The sequence below is a fragment of the Homo sapiens genome, chromosome 8 (genome assembly GCF_000001405.40).
Source record: "Homo sapiens chromosome 8, GRCh38.p14 Primary Assembly".
Lineage (NCBI taxonomy): Eukaryota > Metazoa > Chordata > Mammalia > Primates > Hominidae > Homo > Homo sapiens.
In genome coordinates this window covers 65,600,963-65,621,293 of record NC_000008.11, presented here as the reverse complement: position 1 = coordinate 65,621,293, position 20,331 = coordinate 65,600,963, and the positions used below count along the sequence as shown (strand labels likewise).

At 41.7% G+C, this 20,331-nt stretch overlaps 1 protein-coding gene across 5 annotated transcripts in view, besides 1 other annotated feature; it reads left to right on the top strand.

Moving 5' to 3' along the window:
- The window catches only part of ARMC1 (armadillo repeat containing 1), a 31,720-nt gene extending 12,884 nt beyond the window's left edge, over positions 1-18,836 (top strand). For 2 of the 5 annotated variants that reach the window (NM_018120.6, XM_047421926.1), the window contains exons 4-7: positions 7,861-8,050; positions 15,756-15,872; positions 15,957-16,031; positions 16,709-18,836. In NM_018120.6, the coding sequence (NP_060590.1) occupies positions 7,861-8,050; positions 15,756-15,872; positions 15,957-16,031; positions 16,709-16,900 (574 nt within the window). In that variant the 3' untranslated portion in view covers positions 16,901-18,836. The remainder of the gene's footprint in view (positions 1-7,860; positions 8,051-15,755; positions 15,873-15,956; positions 16,032-16,708) is intronic. The other 3 variants (XM_005251264.3, XM_047421927.1, NM_001286702.2) reach the window with 2 other exon arrangements.
- Positions 4,403-5,185: an enhancer, noted in NCBI's record as "H3K27ac-H3K4me1 hESC enhancer chr8:66528344-66529126 (GRCh37/hg19 assembly coordinates)". NCBI's record gives its function as "activates a minimal SCP1, AML or CMV promoter by ChIP-STARR-seq in primed H9 embryonic stem cells {active_cell/tissue: H9 hESC(primed)}" and the evidence as "EXISTENCE:reporter gene assay evidence [ECO:0000049][PMID:30033119]".
- Positions 18,837-20,331: the final 1,495 nt, after the last annotated feature.

Here is a 20,331-nt window from a genome sequence, read left to right as displayed (position 1 = left end):
ATCCTGTTGCTGCTAATGTGGAAGCCACTAGAACTGGTTTATAAGAGAATTAAGCCCTAAAGCCCTAAGGAATCCATTGGATATAATGGATTATCTTCTGTGCAATGTATCTGGAATGGTTTCAGCTCTATACTATCCTTGGAGTAATTGAGAAAATAATAACTCTGGGTTTTTTTGTTTGTTTGGTTAGTTTTTTGAGACAGGGTCTCGCTCTGTTGCTGAGGCTAGAGTGCAGTGGTATGATCATGGCTCACTGCAGCCTCAACCTCCCAAGCTCCAGCTATTCTCCCACCTCATCCTCCCAAGTAGCTGGGACTACAGACATGTGCCATTATACCTGGCTAATTTTTAAATTATTTTGTAGAGACATGGTCTCACTATGTTGCCTAGGCTGCTGTCCTGGGATCAAGCAATCCTTCTGCCTCAGCCTCCCAAAGTGCTGGAATTACAGGCATGAGCCATCACATCCTGCCCAGATAGTTGTGTTTTTTTTTAAATGGAACTAAATTCTTTTACAGGACCTCAGTTCAGAAAGGATGCTAGAGAAGTGATTAGTCAGAGGGATAGAAGCAGTGATTAACCAGGAAGAGGAGCGCTGGCTTAAGGATGACAACAGAAGCATCTTCCTTTTTTTTCTGAAACGGGTCTAGTATGGTAATCAATAGCAACATGTGGCAATTTAAATTAATTAAAATTAATGGCAGGGAGTGGTGGCTCACACCTGTAATCCCAGCACTTTGGGAGGCAGGTGATCACCTGAGGTAGGGAGTTCGAGGCCAGCCTGGCCAACATGGTGAAAACCCATCTCTACCAAAAATATAAAAATTAGCCAGGTGAGGTGGCGGGCACCTGTAATCCCAGCTACTCAGGAGGCTGAAGCAGGAGAATCGCTTGAACTCGGGAGGCAGAGGTTGCAGTGAGCCAAGATCGCACCACTGCACTCTAGCCTGGGCGACAGAATGAGATTCCCTCTCAAAAAAAAAAAAAAAAAAAAAAAAAGTAATAATAATAATAATTAATTAAAATTAAAAACTCAGCTCCTCAGTCACATTTGCCATATTCCAAGTGTTTAGTCATGTGGCTAGTGACACTATTTCCATCATCTCAGAAAGTTCTGATGTAGAGTGCTGCTCTAAAATTTTTCTTTTCTTGTCTTTTTTTTTTTTGAGACCAGGTCTCAATATGCCACCTTGGCTGGTACGATGTTAGCTCAGTGCAACCTCTGCCTCATGGGCTCAAGTAATCCTCCTGCCTTAGCCTCCTGAGCAGCAGGGACTTAGGCCATCATGTCCTGCTAATTTTTTTTTTTTTTTTTTGAGTCTCATCCTGTTGCCCAGGCTGGAGTGCAATGGCGCGATCTTGGTTCACTGCAACCTCTGCCTCCTGGGCTCCAGCAGTTCTCCTGCCTCAGCCTCCCAAGTACCTGGGATTACAGGCACGCACCACCATGCCCGGCTAATTTTTGTGCTTTTAGTAGAGACAGGATTTGACCATGTTGGCCAGGCTGATTTTGAACTCCTGACCTCAGGTGATCCGCCCGTCTCAGCCTCCCAAAGTACTGGGATTACAGGCGTGAGTCACTGCGCCTGGCCTAATTTTTGTATTTTTTTGTAGAGATGGGGTCTTGACATGTTGCCTAGACTGGTTTCGAACTCCTGGACTCAAGTGATCCTCCTATCTCGGCCTCCCAACATGCTGGGATTACAGGTGTGAGCCACCATGCCCAGCTGCTCGAAAATTTCTTTTTTTTTCTTTTTGAGACAAAGTCTCACTCTCACCCAGGCTTGAGTGCAATGTCTGTGATCTCAGCTCACTGCAATCTCTTCCTCTCGGTTTCAAGCGATTCTCCTGTCTCAGCCTTCTGAGTACCTGGGACTACATGTGTGTGACACTGCACCCATCTAATTTTTGCATTTTTAGTAGAGATGGAGTCTCACCATATTGGCCAGGCTGGTCTCGAACTCGTGGCCTCAGGTGATCCACCTGCACTCGGCCTCTCTATAAGTGCTGGGATTACAGGGGTGAATCACCACCCCTGGCCTGCTCTAAAATTTCTTTGCTTAACTGCCTCTAGGGCTTTTTTTGTTTTTGGATTATTTTTGTTTCATGGACTATTTTCCTAACAGATTTTACTGGCGAATTACTAAGTCAAAGATGTAAATATCTTTGTCTTTGTATCCCTGTTTTCAAATGATACCTATGATGCTTTTACCAGCAGTTGCCTTTTTCTGTTTGTTTGTTTGTTTTTTGTGAGATGGAGTCTCGCTCTGTAGCCCAGGCTGTAGTGCAGTGGCGCGATCTCGGCTCACTGCAACCTCCGCCTCCCGGGTTCAAGCGATTCTCCTGCCTCAGTCTCCCAAGAATCTGGGACCACAGGTACGTGCCACCACGCCCGGCTAATTTTTTGTATTTTTAGTAGAAATGGGGTTTCACTGCATTAGTCAGGATGGTCTCGGTCTCCTGACCTCATGATCCGCTCACCTCGGCCTCCCAAAGTGCTGGGATTACAGGTGTAAACCACCGCCCCGGCCCGACAGTTACCTTTTTATTAGATTTTTCCAAACATTGGGATGGTTTCTTGACATCATAGTTCTCCTTCCCTGTTTAATTTGAAATCAACTTTAAAAACAATTTAAATGTCTGTGTTGAGACTGTTAGAAAATGGATGGTTTGGGTGGGGACATAATTCCACTGAAATTGATGTGGAAAACTTTTCACTTGGAGTTTTCTGGTGAGACACTTTACATTAGGTTCTTTTTTTTTTTTTTTTTTGAGACTGAGTCTCACCCTGTCACCCAGGCTGTAATGCAGTGGCCCAATCTTGGCTCACTGCAAGCTCTGCCTCCCGGGTTCAGGCCATTCTCCTGCCTCGGCCTCCCGAGTAGCTGGGACTACAGGCGCCCGCCACCACGCCCGGCTAATTTTTTGTATTTTTAGTAGAGATGGGGTTTCACCGTGTTAGCCAGGATGGTCTCAGACTCCTGACCTTGTGATCCACCTGCCTCGGCCTCCCAAAGTGCTGGGATTACAGGCGTGAGCCACTGCGCCTGGCCTTACATTAGGTTCTTAAAGGGATTAATGGCTGGGTGCCGTGGCTCATGCCGGTAATCTCAGCATTTTGGGAGGCCGAGGCGGGTGTATCACGAGGTCAGGAGTTCGAGACCAGCCTGACCAACATGGCGAAACCCCATCTCTGCTAAAAATATAAAAATTAGCCAGGCATGGTGGTACGTACCTGTAATCCCAGCTACTCACGGGGCTGAGACAGGAAAATCGCTTGAACCCGGGAGGTGGAGGTGGCAGTGAGCCAAGATTGCGCCACTGCACTCCAGCCTGGGTGACAGAGTGAGACTCTGTCTGCTCCCTCCCCCCCCGCCGAAAAAAGGATTAATTAGTATACTGCCTTAATTGGCTAAGAACTACTGTTACAGTTTTTTTTTTTTCTTTTTAATAATTTCAACTTTTATTTTAGATTCAGGGGTACATGAGCAGGTTTGTTACATGGGTACATTGCTTGATGTTGAGGTTTGGGCCATGAATTATCCTGTCACCCGGAGAGTGAGCGTAGTACCCAACAGTTGGTTTTTCAACCCTTGCCCCTGTCTAGTCGTTCCCAGTGTGTGTTGTTGCCATGAATTAAAGGTATATTTTAGGTGTGATTAATTTTTTTTTTTTTAATTGATCATTCTTGGGTGTTTCTCGCAGAGGGGGATTTGGCAGGGTCAGAGGACAATAGTGGAGGGAAGGTCAGCAGATAAACAAGTGAACAAAGGTCTCTGGTTTTCCTAGGCAGAGGACCCTGCGGCCTTCCGCAGTGTTTGTGTCCATGGGTACTTGAGATTAGGGAGTGGTGATGACTCTTAAGGAGCATGCTGCCTTCAAGCATCTGTTTAACAAAGCACATCTTGCACCGCCCTTAATCCATTTAACCCTGAGTGGACACAGCACATGTTTCAGAGAGCACCAGGTTGGGGGTAAGGTCATAGATCAACAGCATCCCAAGGCAGAAGAATTTTTCTTAGTATAGAACAAAATGGAGTCTCCTATGTCTACTTCTTTCTACACAGACACAGCAACAATCTGATTTCTCTATCTTTTCCCCACATTCCCCCTTTTCTATTCGACAAAACCGCCATCGTCATCATGGCCCGTTCTCAATGAGCTGTTGGGTACACCTCCCAGACAGGGTGGCCGCCGGGCAGAGGGGCTCCTCACTTCCCAGAAGGGGCGGCTGGGCAGAAGCGCCCCCCACCTCCCGGACGGGGTGGCTGGCCGGGCGGGGGCTGCCCCCCGCCTCCCTCCTGGATGGGGCGGCTGCCGGGCGGAGACGCTCCTCACTTCCCAGACGGGGCAGCTGCCGGGCGGAGGGGCTCCTCACTTCTCAGACGGGGCGGCTGCCGGGCGGAGGGGCTCCTCACTTCTCAGACAGGGCGGCTGCCGGGTGGAGGGGCTCCTCACTTCTCAGACAGGGCGGCCGGGCAGAGACGCTCCTCACCTCCCAGACGGGGTCGCGGCTGGGCAGAGGCGCTCCTCACATCCCAGACGGGGCGGCGGGGCAGAGGCGCTCCCCACATCTCAGACTATGGGTGGCCGGGCAGAGACGCTCCTCACTTCCTAGACGTGATGGCGGCCGGGAAGAGGCGCTCCTCACTTCCCAGACTGGGCAGCCGGGCAGAGGCACTCCTCACATCCCAGACGATGGGCGGCCAGGCAGAGACGCTCCTCACTTCCCAGACGGGGTGGCGGCCGGGCAGAGGCTGCAATCTCGGCACTTTGGGAGGCCAAGGCAGGCGGCTGGGAGGTGGAGGTTGTAGCCAGCCGAGATTACGCCACTGCACTCCAGCCTGGGCACCATTGAGCACTGAGTGAACCAGACTCCGTCTGCCATCCCGGCACCTCGGGAGGCCGAGGCTGGCAGATCACTCGTGGTTAGGAGCTGGAGACCAGCCCGGCCAACACAGCGAAACCCCCTCTCCACCAAAAAAATACGAAAACCAGTCAGGCGTGGCAGCGCGTGCCTGCAATCGCAGGCACTCGGCAGGCTGAGGCAGGAGAATCAGGCAGGGAGGTTGTAGTGAGCCGAGATGGCAGCAGTACAGTCCAGCTTCCGCTCGGCATCAGAGGGAGACCGGGAAGAGGGGAGAGGGGAGAGGGAATTACTGTTACAGTTTTTATGCAAAACAGAAAGATAATTTATGTTTTAGTATTTTAATATTTTTTGTCACTATTGCTTCATTAAGCATATTAAACAGTTTTGAAATAATCCAGGTTTTCAAAAAATGTATGACAGTTATTGGATGTTTTATTATGTGTTATGATTCATTTTCTAGTTGATGCAAAACTATTGACAATGGAAAGGAGTAACAATAATACAGTTTTTCTTTCTTCTTTTTTTTTTGTGACGGAGTCTTGCTCTTGTTGCCCACGCTGGAGTGCAATGGCATGATCTCGGCCCACTGCAACCTCCGCCTCCTGGGTTCAAGTGATTCTCCTGCCTCCACCGCCTGAGTAGCTGGGATTACAGGCACCCACCACCACACCTGGCTACTTTATTTTATTTTATTTTATTTATTCATTTTTTCTTTTTAAGAGGGAGCCTCATTCTGTCACCCAGGCTGGCGTGCAGTCGTAGGATCTTGGCTCGCTGCAACCTCCATCTCCCAGGTCCAAGTGATTCTCCTGCCTCAGCCCCCTGAGTAGCTGGGATTATAGACACCTGCCACCACGCCCAGCTAGTTTTTGTGCTTTTTTAGTAGAGACGGGGTTTCGCCATGTTGGCCAGGCTGGGCTCGAACTCCTAACCTCAGGTGATCCACCCACCTCAGCCTCACAAAGTGTTGGAATTACAGGCATGAGCCACTGTACCCGGCCCTGTTTTTTTTTTTTTTTTTTTAACTTAAGTTCGTAAGTTTCTCTAATCATTGTCTCTTCATGCTCTTTATAACTTGTTCTTGGTTAATATTTAAAATATCTGAGAACTGCAGTGACTTTTCAATAAACTCTAAAATAGCTATCAATAAAAATGCTGAGGCAACTAATACAAATTAGTCCTTTTGATAGCTTTCTGTAACACACGGCTAAAGTCACCCAAAGTAACTTATCTCTGTGGTCAACAGTGGCTCAGAAAAGCACTTGATATAGTAATTGAGTGTCTGGAATACTGTCAGATTATCACCCCTGGAATTAAAGCTCTAAGTAGCTAGAACATATACAATCTGAGTATCAGAAATTGAAGTATTCCTACTCATTCACTAAATAACTTGCAAACATTTTTGTTAGGTTCTATGGAAGGTACAAAAAGGATACCTTCCTCCTCTTAAAGAGTTCATATACTTATAAAAGAAATAGAAAATTAAGATCAGTAGTATAAGTACAAGCATAGTACTCTGAATGCAAAGGGAGAATTGGGTTATTAGGTAGAGGCATTATATAGAAGGTGTTGGTCAAGCTGACCCTTCAAGCATTGAAATAAGAGTTGGAAAGCCTGCAGTCTGGGTGAAGCTCTTCCAGCTAAGGAAAGACCTGAACAAAACTTAAGGGTAGAAAGCATTCTAGAACAAAGAACATATAAAAATGCATGGTCTTTGTAGGAGATGGCCAAGTGTCATAGTCAACCCAAAGAATAATAGAAGGACAAAATGAGCTGATGGAGATAGCCAAATGGGGCCAGATTTTAAGGCCTTGAGTGTACATTAAAGGGTTTGGACTTAGTTGAGCCCATTGATAGGTGAAATGAGGATTCTTTTCTTACAGTTACATGTACTTACTCTTTGTTCAGTTCCACTAATAAGAGCCATTAGACTGTGCTGTCCAGTATGGTTAGCCACTCACTCTGTTTGGCAATTTAAATTAATTAAAGGTAAATTAATTTTTTTTAGTTGCACTAGCCACATTTCAAGTGCTCAGTAGCCTCATGTGAGTGGAGAGTGCAGCTATAGAACATTTCTATCATTGCAGAAAGATTATTGGACAGCACAGTCCCCTAGATGTTGATGTGAGGATCTGTAGTAGGATTTAAAAGCTTAAGAATGAAAACTTTTGTTAGAGCTGTGGTTTTATGATAAACACATAATTTGTAATATGTAAAAAATGTAAATTAAAAAATTGGTTTTAACATACAAAGAAATCTTGAAATTAGTTGATAGTATGAATGATCCTTTTCAAATTTGGTTTCTCCTTTTGGATTTTTATATGTTGTATTTTCTTAAAAGTCAAGGTACTTTCAAATTGAGAGTTGAATGTTAGTGATAATACAGGAACATGTTACAACCTGATCTTGTTAGTTGATTTTGTATTTGATTATTTTTATTAAACGTGTGGTTTTTTTTTTTTTTGAGATGGAGTCTCCCTCTGTCACCCAGGCTGGAGCCCAGTGGTGTGATCTGAGCTTGCTGCAACTTCTGCCTCCCGGGTTCAAGTGATTCTCCTCTCTCAGACTCCTGAGTAGCTGGGATTACAGGCATGCGCCACCACACCCAGCTAATTTTTGTATTTTAGTAGAGATGGGGTTTCAGTATGTTGGTCAGGCTTGAACTCCTGACCTCAAGTGATCCACCTGCCTTGGCCTCCCAAAGTGCTGGGTTTACAGGCATGAGCCACTGTGCCTGGCCAAATGTGTTTTTATACCTCTATAGTGTTGGATTTTGAATCTCAATGAGCCACGGGTTTAAAATGAAATTAGAAGATTATTATAGACAAGATGCTTTTTCTACATTATTGATTATTCTAGGATTCACTGCTATTGCTTTTAAATTGAACAAGGCATTAGAGTAAAAGAAACAAGGCTCCTTTTAGTGGAGAAATAAAATTACAGAATCAGTAGAAGTGACAAGACTAATTATATATGTGTTTCTTTTCAAGAACTACAACTCCAGGAGAAACAAAACTTCTGGCCTCTGAAATCTATGACATTCTTCAGTCCTCCAATATGGCAGATGGTGATAGTTTTAATGAGATGAATTCACGTCGAAGGAAAGCTCAATTTTTTCTGGGAACTACAAACAAACGTGCCAAAACAGTGGTTTTGCATATAGATGGCCTTGATGATACGGTAAGGTCTGTTAGATGGGAAAGAGAAATCATGTTTACTGAATAGTTTCTTCAGTGCCACTTGCTAACAGTCTTTGAGAATAAATCTCGATATCAGTATTTTACTGATAAAAAGGGTCATTTTGTGCTAAAGAGGTCAGTTAATCATAGGATATAAGAATTTAAAATATGTATGTCCCTAATAATAGAACATCGAAATATATGAAGTAAAACTTAGAGAAATGGGGAGAAATAGAAAAATCCACAGTTAGAGATTTTAACACAACTCTCTCAATACAGGAAGCATACAGAAAATCAGTAAGGATATAGAAGACTCAAATAATGCTATCAACCAATTTAACCTAATTTTTATTTTATTTTATTTATTTTTTTATATATTTTTTGAGATGGAGTCTCACTCTGTCACCCAGGCTGGAGCACAGTGGTGCAATCTTGGCTCATTGCAACCTCCGCCTCCTGGGTTCAGGTGTCTCTTCTGCCTCAGCCTCCCGAGTAGCTGGAATTACGAGTGTGCACCACCATGCCTGGCTAATTTTTGTGTTTTTAGTAGAGATGGGGTATCACCATGTTGGCCAGGCTGGTCTCAACTCCTGACCTCAGGTGGTCCGCCTGCCTCAGCCTCCCAAAGTGCTCGATTACAGGGATGAGCCACCATGCCCGGCCCAAAGCATGTTCTTTGAGCACAGTGAATGCAAATTAGAAATCAGTAACAGAAAGATATCTGAAAAATTTCCCCCACATTTGTAAAACTAAGTGACACATTTCTTTTTTTTTCCTTTTCTTTTTTCAGGGACAGGGTCTTGTTCTGTGGCCCAGGCTGGAGTGCAGTGGCACAATCATAGTCTACTGCAGGCTCGAACTCCTGGGCTCAAGTAATCTTTCTGCCTCAGCCTCCTGAGTAGCTGGGACTATAGACATGTGCCACCATGCCTGGCTAATTTTTAAGTTTTTGCAGAGATGGAGTCTTGCTGTGTTGCCAGGTCTCAGACTCCTGGCCTCAACCAATCCTCCTGCCTCAACCCAGCAAAGAGCTCGGATTACAGGCATGAACCACTGCACCTAGCTAAATAGCACATTTCTAAAGTAATCTATGAGTCAGTAAATAAAAGAGAAATTAGCATTTTGAACTGAATAAAAATAAAAATGAAAGTGAACTGAATAAAAATGAAAGTGTAGGCCGGGCACGGTGGCTCACACCTGTAATCCCAGCACTTTGGGAGGCCAAGGCGGATGGATCATGAGGTCAGGAGTTTGAGACCAGCCTGGCCAACATAGTGAAACCCCATCTCTACTAAAAATACAAAAATTAGCTGGGCATGGTGGTGCGCCTGTAGTCCCAGCTACTCGGGAGGCTGAGGCAGGAGAATCGCTTGAACCCAGGAGGTGGAGGTTGTGGTGAGCTGAGATCACGCCACTGCACTCCAGCCTGAGTGACAGAGTGAGACTCCGTCTCAAAAAAAAAAAGAAAAAAAAAGTGAAAGTGTAATAAAAGTGAAAGTGATATATACATGAAAATGTAGCTGAAATTTGTTGGAAGTAGTTAAACAAAGTTTAAAGTGGAAATTCATTAGCTCCAGATGCCTAACTGTTTATATACAAAAAAGAAAGGGTATCAAGTCAGTGACTTAAGCTTCTACCTTAAGAAAATAGAAGCAGCTGAAGGGGATCACTGGATCCCAAGAGTTCAAGGTTATGGTGATCTATGTTCGTGTCACTACACACTCCTGGATAGGCAACAAAAACCCTGTCTCAGAAAAAAAAAGAAACTAGAAAAAGAAGAACAAATTAAAGCCACAACAAGCAGAAGAGAAGAAACAAGAAAGATCAGGGAAATGAAAAACAATAGAGAAAAACCAATGAAATCAAAAGCTGGTGTTTGACATGATTGTTAAAATTGATAAGCCTCTAGTCAGACAGATCAAGAATAAAAGAGAAAAGTCATAAATTATCAATATCAGAAATGAGAGAGGATACCACTATAGATCCTACAGACATCAAAAGGGTAAGTGAGGGCCGGGCATGGTGGCTTACGCCGGTAATGCCAGCACTTTGGGAGGCTGAGGCAGGTGGATCACTTGAGGTCAGGAGTTTGAGACCAGCCTGGCCAACATGGTAAAATCCCATCTCTACTAAAAATACAAAAATTAGCCAGGTGTGATAGTGTAGGCCTGTAATCCCAGCTACATGGGAGGCTGAGGCAGGAGAATCGCTTGAACCCAGGAGGCAGAGGTTGCAGTGAGTGGAAATCACACCACTGCACTCCAGCCTGGGTGACAGAGCACAACTCCATCTCAAAAAAAAAAAAGGATAAGTGAATATTTTAAATACCTTTATGCCAATAAATTTCATAATGTAGATGAAACAGGTTTCATGAAAGACACAGATGACCGAAGCTCACTCAAGAAGAAACAGATGACCCAATTAGTTGTAGATCTGCTAAAGAAATTGAATTTGTAGCTAAAAGTCATGCCATAAATAAAACTTCAAGCCCAGATAGAAGCATGTTTTCTGGTGTCTGGAAATCATTGGTTTTTAAATTTTTTTTTTTTGAGACGGGGTTTTGCTCTTTTTGCCCAGGCTGGAGTGCGATGGCACAATCTCGGCTCGCTGCAACCTCCACCTCCTGGGTTCAAGTCTTTCTCCTGCCTCAGCCTCCCAAGTAGCTGGGATTACAGGTGCCCGCCACCACACCCAGCTAATTTTTTTGTATTTAGTAGAGACGGGGTTTCGCCATGTTGGCCAGGCTGGTCTTGAACTCCTTACCTCAGGTAATCTGCCTGCTTTGGTCTCCAAAGTGTTGGGATTACAGGCATGAACCACTGCAGCCGGCCTTAAATTTTATTTTGTCAGCTGGGCACAGTGGGTCACGCCTATAATCCCAGCACTTTGGGAGGCCGAGGCAGGTGGATCACAAGGTCAGGAGTTCAAGACCAGCCTGGCCAACGTGGTGAAACCCCGTCTCTACTAAAGATACAAAAAATAAGCAGGGTGTGGTGGTGCACGCCTGTAATCCCAGCTACTCAGGAGGTTGAGTCAGGAGAATCGCTTGAACCTGGGAGGTGGAGGTTGCAGTGAGCTGAGATTGCGCCATTGCACTCCAGCCTGGGCGACAGGGCGAGATCCCGTCACACACACAAAAAAATTTTAATTTTGTCTATATTTTTAGTTGTTTAATTCTAGAGGCTAAATCTGGTCCCTGTTAATCCATCTGGACTGCAGCTGGAAGTTCCCCTGAAGTTACCTTGCACAGAGAGAAGTTATATAACTTTACATATTTAGGGGTAGCAGTTGGTAGATTACCACTTACCTCTTTAGCAATGCCAGGTAGGTTATATTAGATTATTCACAGCTTTTTTCTTTTTCTTTTCTTTTTTTTTTTTTTTTTTTGAGACAGAGTCTTGCTCTGTCCCCCAGGCTGGAGTGCAGTGTCGTGATCTCGGCTTACTGCAACCTTTGCCTCCCAGGTTCAAATGATTCTCCTGCCTCAGCCTCCCCTGTAGCTGGGACTACAGGTGCCCGCCACCATGCCCATCTAATTTTTGTGTTTTTAGTAGAGACGGGGTTTCACCATATTGGCCAGGCTGGTCTCGAACTCCTGACCTTGTGATCCACCCGCCTTGGCCTCCCAAAGTGTTGGGATTACAGGCGTTGAGCCATGGCGCCTGGCCCACAGCTTTTTCTAGTTGTGTTTAGGTGCTTAGGCTCAGGATATGGGGTTTAGTAAATAAGCCTTCCATATGCATATTGTCAGACCCAAATCAGTCCACAGCTATCTTACTGGAAGTGGGGTCACAAGGCAATTTCTAGAAAGCAAGTTCTGATAAAGGTAAATTGATTCACTGGAAGATCTTAAGATATATAAAATATCTCCAATACCATGTGTTTAATTTTAGTGAATAAGAATAATATAGTTTCTTTTTAAAGCTAGCACAAATCAAGTAATAAAACCCAGCAAAGCACACACAAAAATATAGGCTAGCCAGGTGTGGTGGCACATGCCTGTAATCTCAGCTATATGGGAGGCTAAGGCAGGAAGATTGCTAGAGCCCAAGAGTTCAAGACCAGCCTAGTCAACATAGCGAGATTCCGTCTCAAAAAAAAAAAAAAAAAAGAGCAGAAACCAAACAAACAAATATATAGGCCAATATATAGTAAAAACATGATTACCAAGTCCAAAATGAAATATTAGCAAGTTAATTCTAGTACTGTACTATCATGTTAACTTTTTTTGGTGACATAGCCTGGTACTAGTGATAAGTTTATTTCATCGATTCTCTCATTTGTTTCTGACAGCACAGAGAGATGTATATCTTCTTTCTTTCTTTATTTTTTTTGAGACAGAGTCTCACTCTGTCGCCCAGGCTGGAGATCAGTGTGACACGATCTTGGCTCACTGCAACGTCCACCTCCCAGGTTCAAGCAATTCTCCTGCCTCAGCCTCCCAAGTAGCTGGGATTAAAGATGCCCACCACCATGCCCGGCCAATTTTTTTGTATTTTTATAGAGACGGGGTTTCACTATATTGGCCAGTCTGGTTTTGAACTCCTGATCTCAAGTGATCTGCCTGCCTTGCCCTCCCAAAGTGCTAGGTTATAATAGAAGGGGAAGTTGAGTTTAGAATGGTCAAATAACTTAACTGTTTACTCTACCTATGTAACTTTAGCTTAGTCAACATTTTTTGGACTAGGTAGTGTGACTTCAGAATTGAACTCTTTTTCGAGACAGAGTTGCTCTTTTGCCCAGGCTGGAGTGAGGTGGCGTGATCTCAGCTCACTGCAACCTCCACCCCCTGGGTTCAAGTAATTCTCGTGCCTCAGCCTCCCAAGTAGCTGGGATTACAGGCACCCACCACCACGCCCCGCTAATTTTTTTGTATTTTTAGTAGAGACAGGGTTTTGCCATGTTGGCCAGGCTGGTCTTGAACTCCTGACCTCAGGTGATCCACCTGCCTCGGCCTCACAAAGTGCTAGGATTACAAGTGTGAGCCACCGCGCCTGGCCCAGAATCGAACTTTTAATCACAATATTATAATTTCCTAGAAACAATCTAGTTTTATCCTGGAGTTGTAAATATGATTTAACATAGTGAAATATTTTAGTATAATATCAGTAAGTCAATAATTTGATAATTTGCTATTGATATAGCTGTAAATATAGAAAATCCAGGAGAATGATCTGAAATTTCTTAAAAATATTTTAAAAATCCAGTGACATTATTAAATATATGGAAATCAGTTACTTCTTAAAAGGAGAAAAGTAGTTTTACTCTCCCAAACAAAACAAACAGCTAGGAAGAGTGCAGGGGTATTTTTTCTTTTTTTCTTTTTGTTTTTTTAAACTTAATGACCAGTGTGATAGTAGCAAGGGTATTCTTAATAAGAAAATACAAGACTTAATAAAAAAAATTAAAGGTCTTCAGTATTATAAGAAGACTGGAATAAATGGAATGAAATGCCTGTTTCTGAAAGTTTGTAAGGATGTTAGTTCTTCCTAAATTTGTGGACTTAAAATAATGCCAATCAGTCTGATGATTTTGGAACTTTATTTCCTGATCTGAAAGTTCACATGGTAGAATGTACTAATTTTTACAATAAAAAGGAGCACCTAATGTTAGGCATTATTTTAGATACCAGGGATACAGCGATGACCAAAAAGCAAAACTTTTTGCTCTCTTGGAGCTAGCATAGTTGGAGGAGGCAGGCAATAAGCTTGCTAAAAAAGTGTGTTAATTTATGTTAAAATAAAGATAAATTAGACTTATGAATCTCGTTTCTCACTGTTGCATGTGGTTGGCATTTAGTACCAGACTCTACCTGTGGTAAATCAGGCAAGTTGTTTTTCAACTTTTCACTTTCCTCACATTTAAAATAAGGGATCAGATTAATAGTATCCTAACTTATATATATTGTGTGAGCTTTACTTCACTTTCAAGTTTACCTGGTGTTGAATATGTGGAAGAGATAAACATGGTGCTATTTGGCACCAGTCCTCTAAGGGGCTTCACCAAATGCAGGCCCCTGCAGAGCAGGGTCCAGACACAGTGCACTAGATGAGCCCACTGTGGGCCTGTGCTGTGCCACAGACTGACGTGTCCCACGTCTCCCTGAGTAGTGTTGAAATGCAGAAGTAGGGAGATGAGCAATGGTGTGAGCAGTTGTTTTGAAGGATGTGGAAATAAGTTTGAAAACTGGATATAGTCTACAGATTTGGCACGTGGGTCAGTTGCAGATTGACCCCTCAGAAATATAAATCAAAACTTGGTCTCAATACAGAAATCAGAAAATGTAGAGAGTGTGATTTGGTGTGTGGGCCAGAGGTGGAGGGAGCTATGAGGAGAAAATGCAATTACTTTTTCCATTTTCACTTTGGATCTTGTATTGAGATGACCACTTGATGGTCAAGTGGATATGTCTGACAGACAAATAAGAAAGTCATATTGGAGTTAGTAATGTTAGTGATGGCTAAAGTGATGAGAATAGTCTTCTGAGGTTTGAAGCAGAAAGAAAATCAGTTTAGGAACTGGACTTTGGAGTTAAGGTGAGACAAAGCTGGAATAATCAGTGGGAAAGTGGAAGACCAGGATAATGTAGTACCCTGCATTGAAGTATTGAAGGGTACATGTTATATTGTGTTTTGAAGAGTATTAGGAAAATGAGAACCACACAGAGGGTATGTCTAACCCTTGAGAATGCAATAGTAACCATAAGAATGCCATAAATGGATGATGCAGTGATATTTGTAATACCAGGTGATTTAAGGAATAGTGACTTAAACACTGAATGCTCACTAATTCTAACTTCAGTCTATTGGAATTTATCCCTGGAGATTTTTAGGCTAGTGTGTGGATCATAAAACTTTTCTTTTCTTTTCTTTTTTTTTTTTTTTGAGATGGTGTCTTGCTCTGTCGCCCAGGCTGGAGTGCAGCGGCATAATCTCAGCTCACTGCAACCTCCGCCTCCCGGGTTCAAGTGACTCTCCTGCCTCAGCCTCCCGAGCAGCTGGGACTACAGGCACACGCCACCATGCCCAGCTAATTTTTGTATTTTTAGTAGAGATGGGGTTTTACCATATTGGCCAGGCTGGTCTTGAACTCCTGACTTCATGATCTACCCGCCTCAGCCTCCCAAAGTGCTGGGATTGCAGGCATGAGCCACCGTGCCTGGCCAAACCTTTTCTTTATAGGACCAGAAAGTAAATATTTTTGGCTTTGTAGACCATGATGGTCTCTGTCATAACTACTAACTCTGCCTTAGCGTGAAACTAGCCTCAGATAATATGTTAACAAGTGGGTGTGCTTGTGTTTCAATAAAACTTAGTTACAAAAACAGCTGGTGGACTATAGTTTTCCCCACCCGTGAGCTAGAAGAACCTCTGCTTTTCTTCTTTTTGGTATTTTTTCCCCCTGTGTTGTGTTCTGCTTTATTTAAGATGTAAATTAACATTGGCTAACTTCTTTCTGATAAAAAATTATTAAAACTACATATTAGTATTGAAGCTTTAAAAATTTAGCAGGAATTACTATTCTGTTGATCCTGTAAAATTTAAAAAATTTGACTAAGCACTCCCCCACTCTGTGCCCTGAAATAAGATGGTAAAACTGAAATAGGTCATTTGCTCTCTTCCCCCCTCCAAAATATAGCTTGGTTTTCACTGATTTATTACCTTTTATTTACCTATTTTCATAACAATTTGCTTTTACTTTTTCAGTCTCGGAGAAATCTATGTGAAGAGGCTTTGTTAAAAATTAAAGGTGTTATTAGCTTTACTTTTCAAATGGCTGTTCAAAGGTGTGTGGTGCGAATCCGTTCAGATTTGAAAGCTGAGGTAAGTATTTTAAAAGACTGAATATGCTTGAGATTACAGGTAAACAAATCAATTTCAAAATTGTTCCTTTTTATCTTGGCTTAGGCTTTGGCATCAGCAATAGCATCAACCAAGGTTATGAAAGCTCAGCAAGTTGTGAAAAGTGAAAGTGGAGAAGAGGTAAAAGTTGTGTTTAATTTTCTTTATATCCAACTCACTCTCAATTATTTTTTATGGCTAGCAGATTGCCAGTATTTCTAAATTAATAGTGCCAAGTATGTAAGGATGTGCTGTTTCTTGGTTAACAGTTAACTGTTTTAGAAATATAGAGAGATCTTTTGTGGATATCAGAGTCTGCTCTTGCTGATTTTACATGGAAATAAAGGATATGTGTCTTCCTTGCATTTATTTTTAAATACTTTCTTCCTAATCTTAACTAATCCTGACAATCCAAAAAATAAAGGTGTAACCACTGGGCAAGTAAATAGGGTGAAAATCCTTGTCTGTTGCTACTCTTTTCACTAGCTTTGTGATGGGGGAAACAAATATACCTTGAGCTCATTTGGGTTCCCATCTCATAGATGGGAGGTTCCATGGCTATCCAGTGGCTGCAGTGGCTAGACACTTGCTTTAGTCATTATTACACAGAGAGCGGTTGCTCATTTACTCCTAGAATTTCAGCAGATCAACTTCTGAGTTCTTATTTGTACTCTGCTTACTCCTTTCTGTATTGACACAGTGCTCAGCAATTGGGCCTACTGTCATGTAAGAGGAAAATTTACCCTGAGAATAACCACGGTAATTAGAATAAGGAGTAAAGTTGATTTTGTAATAACTCTCAATATTTTCTGTATCAGATGTTGGTCCCATTCCAAGATACTCCTGTGGAAGTTGAACAGAACACAGAGCTACCTGACTACCTGCCTGAGGATGAGAGTCCCACAAAGGAACAGGACAAAGCGGTGTCCCGGGTCGGCTCACACCCAGAAGGTGGAGCTAGCTGGCTTAGCACAGCTGCAAACTTTTTATCCAGATCATTTTATTGGTGACTTCACTTTTGGGCTCAAGGACTGTGTGAACCAACAAGGGGCCAGTTTTCCATTGTTGTGGTGAACTGTCAAGTGCAATTTGCAATAAGTTATCATGAAAAGTTTTTAGATTACACGATCGCATATGCTGCATTTCACGTTTTATTGGACATTTTACCCCACTGAGTGGTAAAAAGGACAGAGGCTACAGATGGAGTTGCTTTGTTTATGAAAGTATTTTGGTTTGTTTTCTTTCATTTAATTGCCTCATATTTAAAAACCATGGGTCCACTGTTAAAACCACATGTGTATGTGCAGCTTTACATTTTATTTTACGTGAAGCATGTGATTAGGAAAACTCATTTTCTTTTCAAGCCTCAGGACCTACCTGAAGAGAAGTTTTCTTGTAGCTCAAGTTGTGCATGAATTACTGAATATTTTACTGTGCTTTTCTTCATGAAGGGTACATGCTTTGTACTCTTCACTGAAAGCTGAAAACATTTCTTGTTACCCTCTTTTGTGCCTTTTTATTTTGCCAACCGTGTTTATAGAAAGGACATTACTAATGACATTTTGCAGATTAAAAACATTCATTTGAACACAGTAGTCCCCTAGAAAAACAACTCTACAAAAATTTTGCAGCCTTATTCATTATAATTTTGATAAAATTAACACAAAATCAGTCAAGAAGGAAACATGTATATTAGTGAAGTGTTTTTGGAGACTGTTTGAATGTGACCAAATGTGGTTCTAGTTGACTTCTTTTCACTTTGGCTTATATCAATTCTTGAGAGTTAATGTGATCATGATATTGCAAACAACTATAAATGGTCTCTAGGCCTTACTTTGTGATTATACGTTATCTCCGGCTAGAAAAAAATAATGGTAGTAAAGAAACTGACAAACTGAAAATAAGAAAACAAAAATCAAATGCCTATAATACCATAATGCCAGTTTGGTATAGAGTCCAACTTTAAAACATGAATTGCTCGACAGAGTTCTATTCAGTAGGTGTTTCTTTGTATTGTCTTTTGTGAATTTATTATGAAAATGCTGCGTTGTGTTGAATGAAAAAGACCCAAATTACTGCTTATGAAGAAATAAAGCCAGCATTGATCACTTAATCCTGTTTCTCATGTCCAGCCAGAAAAAAGAACTTCAGTGAAGGTAAGATAAATAAATACATACACATATGTTTTTTTGGTAGATAAGTGCTAATTACATATATGTAATGCTTTATTAAATTTCTGAAATATTTGGTAACTAAAATTTTCTTTTTGGAAATTAATAAATCCAGATACATATTAATGTTGATATGAGTAAAAACAAATAGGAAGAAATTGAAATTTCTTTTCATCAACATGTAGAGCTGCTATTTTACTATTTGGAGAATATGATGTGAAAATTGGACCTCAAAGGGTTTCCTTGTGTTTTCATTGTAAAATACCATCATCAGTGAGAGTCTTGAGTTCACTAACATTGTCACCTTCTGGAGAGAGAGTTAATGGGGGGCATTGAGGATGATATTTTTTTACATGTGTTTGGTTTCTGATTCAAGTGACACGCACAAACTGAAAAAAAAAAAACAAAAAAAGCAACAATAACTTTCAGGGCACCTATTGCTCTAAATGCATAATATAACTTGCTGCCAGAACCAGATGTGTTTAAAAAAGAAAATAAAACCACCTTCTTTCTATAGCCATTAAAGCAAACTTTACTGTTCTAACAAATTTGTATTTTATTTTGCATTGCCACACATCTGCTTATTTAAAAACTACATCCCTTTGGTAGTAATGTTTCAGGACAAGTAGGTATTACAGCTTGATGTTTGTGTGTTCTAATTCTAAGAGTTCTTTATTCCAGATCATATAGAGTAGTTAAGACAACTGTAACAGCATTTTTTGAAATACATTGTAAAATAATAAAAGGTAACATAATTAAAATCGAGTGGATATTATATACTTGTGGTATAAGCATTATTGATTATTTATTTTTAAATTTTATTTTAAGTTCTGGGATACATGTGCTGAATGTATCATAGGTATACATGTGCCATGGTGGTTTGCTGTACCTATCAACCCGTCATCTAGGTTTTAAGCCCCGCATACATTAGGTATTTTTCCTAATGCTCTCCCTCCCCTTCCCCCCACCCCCTGATATGCCCTGGTGTGTGATGTTTCCCTATGTTGATTACTCTTAAGCCTGTTTGTACACACGTTGCCTGGCACACTTTCCCAGTTCCCTGCAGTTGTGCTACCTGACTAATTCCCATGCATCTTCCATTCGTTTCCTTCCTGACACCACACCTGCCTCTCTCCAGATTGGATTGCTGCTCCTGTGCATATACTCATTGTAGCATCTATCACATTATATCAAAATTGCATATTTAACAGTGTCTCTCCCCTGCTAAGCTCTCTGAGAAGAGAATCTTTTTTAAGTTTTGTTTTGCATTGACACATAATATTTGTGCATATTTATGGGGTACAATAATGATGTGAGTCTTCACATTAACCTTGTAGCTGTGCCTGACTTATAGTAAATGCTCAGATTTTTTTTTAGGGGGAATGAGCAAAGTTTTTTTAAAAATCAGTAAAACATAAATATACTTGTTGGGCAAAAGGAAAAATGTTATATGTATTTTTTCTGGGCATGCTTATTTCTGATTTATCAATATTTAACAAATTTCAGCCAGGCACAGTGGCTCATGCCTGTAATCCCAGCATTTTGGGAGGCCAAGGTGGGAGGATTGCTTGAGCCTAGGAGTTTGAGACCAGCCTGGGGAACATGTGAAACCCTGACTGTACAAAAAAAAAAAAAAAATTAGCTAGCTGTGGTGGCAAGTGCCTGTAGTCCCAGCTACTTGGGAGGCTGAGGTGGGAGGATTGATTGGGCCTGGAAGATTGAGGCTGCAGTGAGCTGAGATAATGCCACTGCACTCCAGCCTGGATGACACAGCGAGATCCTATCTCAAAAAAAAAAAGCAAGTGTCTCAAATGTCTTCATTTATTTTGTCATTTGGTTTTTATTTTTAAAAAATGGGAGGGGGCATAATATTTGCTCCATTGAATGGAGCTAGAATTATCCTGATTCTTACAGAATTTTTACAGGAGAATATGATATATATAAAATAGTGGTTTTGATTTTCTGTTTTATAACTCATGAGCTGTGTGATTCTAGGCAATATTTTAATCTCTAAACTGGAGATTTATTTAATCTCTAAATTGGAGATTTATTAAAATGGAGATGATTCCTCTGCCTCATGGGGCCGTTAATTAGGATCCAGTGAGAGATGAGTGCTTTGAAAACTAAAAATTTACCAGTGTGCAATGGATTTATTGTTACTAGAAGTTTCTCAAGTGGTAACCTTTTTTTTTTTTTTTTTTTCCGAGACAGTCTTGTTCTGTCGCCCAGGCTGGAGTGCAGTGGTGCGATTTTGGCTCACTGCAACCTCC